Source organism: Homo sapiens, chromosome 7 (genome assembly GCF_000001405.40).
Source record: "Homo sapiens chromosome 7, GRCh38.p14 Primary Assembly".
NCBI lineage: Eukaryota > Metazoa > Chordata > Mammalia > Primates > Hominidae > Homo > Homo sapiens.
In genome coordinates this window covers 69,516,902-69,518,910 of record NC_000007.14, presented here as the reverse complement: position 1 = coordinate 69,518,910, position 2,009 = coordinate 69,516,902, and the positions used below count along the sequence as shown (strand labels likewise).

Sequence of the window (2,009 nt, the reverse complement as noted above, 5' to 3'; positions counted from 1 at the left end):
CAGGAAAATAAAGGGGAAGCTCCCACTGGTTAATAGAACCTCTGATGCCCATTTATAAGTGTAATTTTGCAACGTCCTTGGTGGCTTGCAAAGGCTCTCCCTAAATTTCCTTTCAACAGTGCACTTTCCCTTTTTCTTAGATGTGTACGAAAAGGACCAGGCTGCCTGAGAATGCTTTCCAGGTCAGATAGTTGGCTGCCTCTTCCCTTTAGCTAAATAAAGGACACCATCTTCAAAGGACGAGAAGACGAGTCCATCTGGTCTCTCTGATTGCACCAGCCAGGGGAGTTCCAGCCAAGTCCCAAGCTTTAGCTATCTGGACAGTCAGCTCATACCACCCAGAATCTACATCTGGCTGCCAAATGCACCTTGCTCTGGCCACCCACATACACTGGATCCAATGAGCAACCGGCTCAGCATTCTCCTGGCTGAACAAAGAGGGTGCTTGCCACAAGCAGGGCTATTGTTCAACTGGCATTACCATCAAAGGCCCTGGCCAGCTCCCCTTTGTCTGTCAGTTGCTATTCAGAAGGAAAAGAGAAGAAAAGCAAATCAATAGGTTTCTTGGAGAGAATCGCCTGTGGACGTGGGACATTCACTGTAGCACCGAGCTAACGTGATTCTAATAACAACTTGTAAAGCTATTTAACATGGAGAACCTTGCCAATACATATTCCAAAATGTCACGGCGCCTGGTTATAACGGGCAGGCTGTTTCCCAGATTTAGAGAGTTGAGTCATCTCTGCCTGCTTATATGTAACAAGGTCTGTGCAAGGTGTTTGGCGGCCGGTTATTATATGGATGCTAACCTTTCAACCCTATATTGGCATTAAAGACATGTCATCTTGTTTTCAGGCGTACTGCAAGAGCCTTTTCCCAGAAGGTCAGATTTTTTTTTCACCTGGCCCCAGGCCCGTCTCATGCCACCAATAGAAATAGGCTCTCGACACCTTCATATACATCACAACTTTTTTTTTTTTCTGAATCATTCACCTGCACTGGTTTATAGGTCCTGGCAGTTAGGAGCATTTGGGTCTTTTTGTTGGGTCAAAATGTTGTTTGTATTATGAAATATTTCTAACATGTAGAAAAAGAACAGATAGTTAATATAATGAATACATGGTTTCCAACCCTGGGCTTAAAACAACAGCAGCAATGGCCAGGCGCGGTGGCTCACACCTGTAATCGCAGCACTTTGAGAGGCTGAGGTGGGCAGATCACCTGAGGTCAGGAGTTTGAGACAAGCCTGATCAACATGTTGAAACCCCATCTCTACTAAAAATACAAAAATTAGCCGGGCATGGTGGCACGTGCCTGTAATCCAAGCTACTCGGGAAGCTGAGGCAGGAGAATTGCTTGAATCCGGAAGGTGGAGGTTGCACTGAGCCCAGATTGTGCCACTGTACTCCAGCCTGGGCGACAGAGTGAGACTACGTCTCAAACAAACAAACAGACAAACAAACAAAAACAGCAGCAGCAACAAATACTCACAATGGGCTGGGTGTGGTGGCTCATGCTTGTAATCCCAGCACTTTGGGAGGTCGAAGCAGGAGGATCACTAGAGCCCAGAAGTTCAAGATCAGCCTGGCCAACATAGCAAGACCCTGTCTCTATAAAATAAATAAAAAATACTCCCCACCTCCAGTTACTAATAATGTCCTGTGTGCCCTTTTTGAATGCAGTTCTTCCTCCCCATCCCTTAGGGATCACCACTCTGCCCAGTGTCTGTCATATGTATAAATGTTTGTGTACTTTCCTCTTTTTTCTTTTTTTTTTGAGACAGAGTCTCACTCTGTTACTCAGGCTGGAGTGCAGTGGTGCCATCTCGGCTCACTGCGGCCTCCACCTCCCGGGTTCAAGTGATTCTTGAGCCTCAGCCTCCTGAGTAGCTGGGATTACAGATGTGCACCACCACGTCCGGCTAATTTTTTAATCTTTTTTGGTAGAGACGGAGTTTTGCCATGTTGGGCAAGCTGGTCTGGAACTCCGGACCTCAGGTGATCCACCTG

General features: G+C 46.5%; 1 annotated feature.

Annotated features, from left to right (window-relative positions):
• Positions 254 to 873: an enhancer, noted in NCBI's record as "OCT4-NANOG-H3K27ac hESC enhancer chr7:68983024-68983643 (GRCh37/hg19 assembly coordinates)". NCBI's record gives its function as "activates a minimal SCP1, AML or CMV promoter by ChIP-STARR-seq in naive H9 embryonic stem cells {active_cell/tissue: H9 hESC(naive)}" and the evidence as "EXISTENCE:reporter gene assay evidence [ECO:0000049][PMID:30033119]".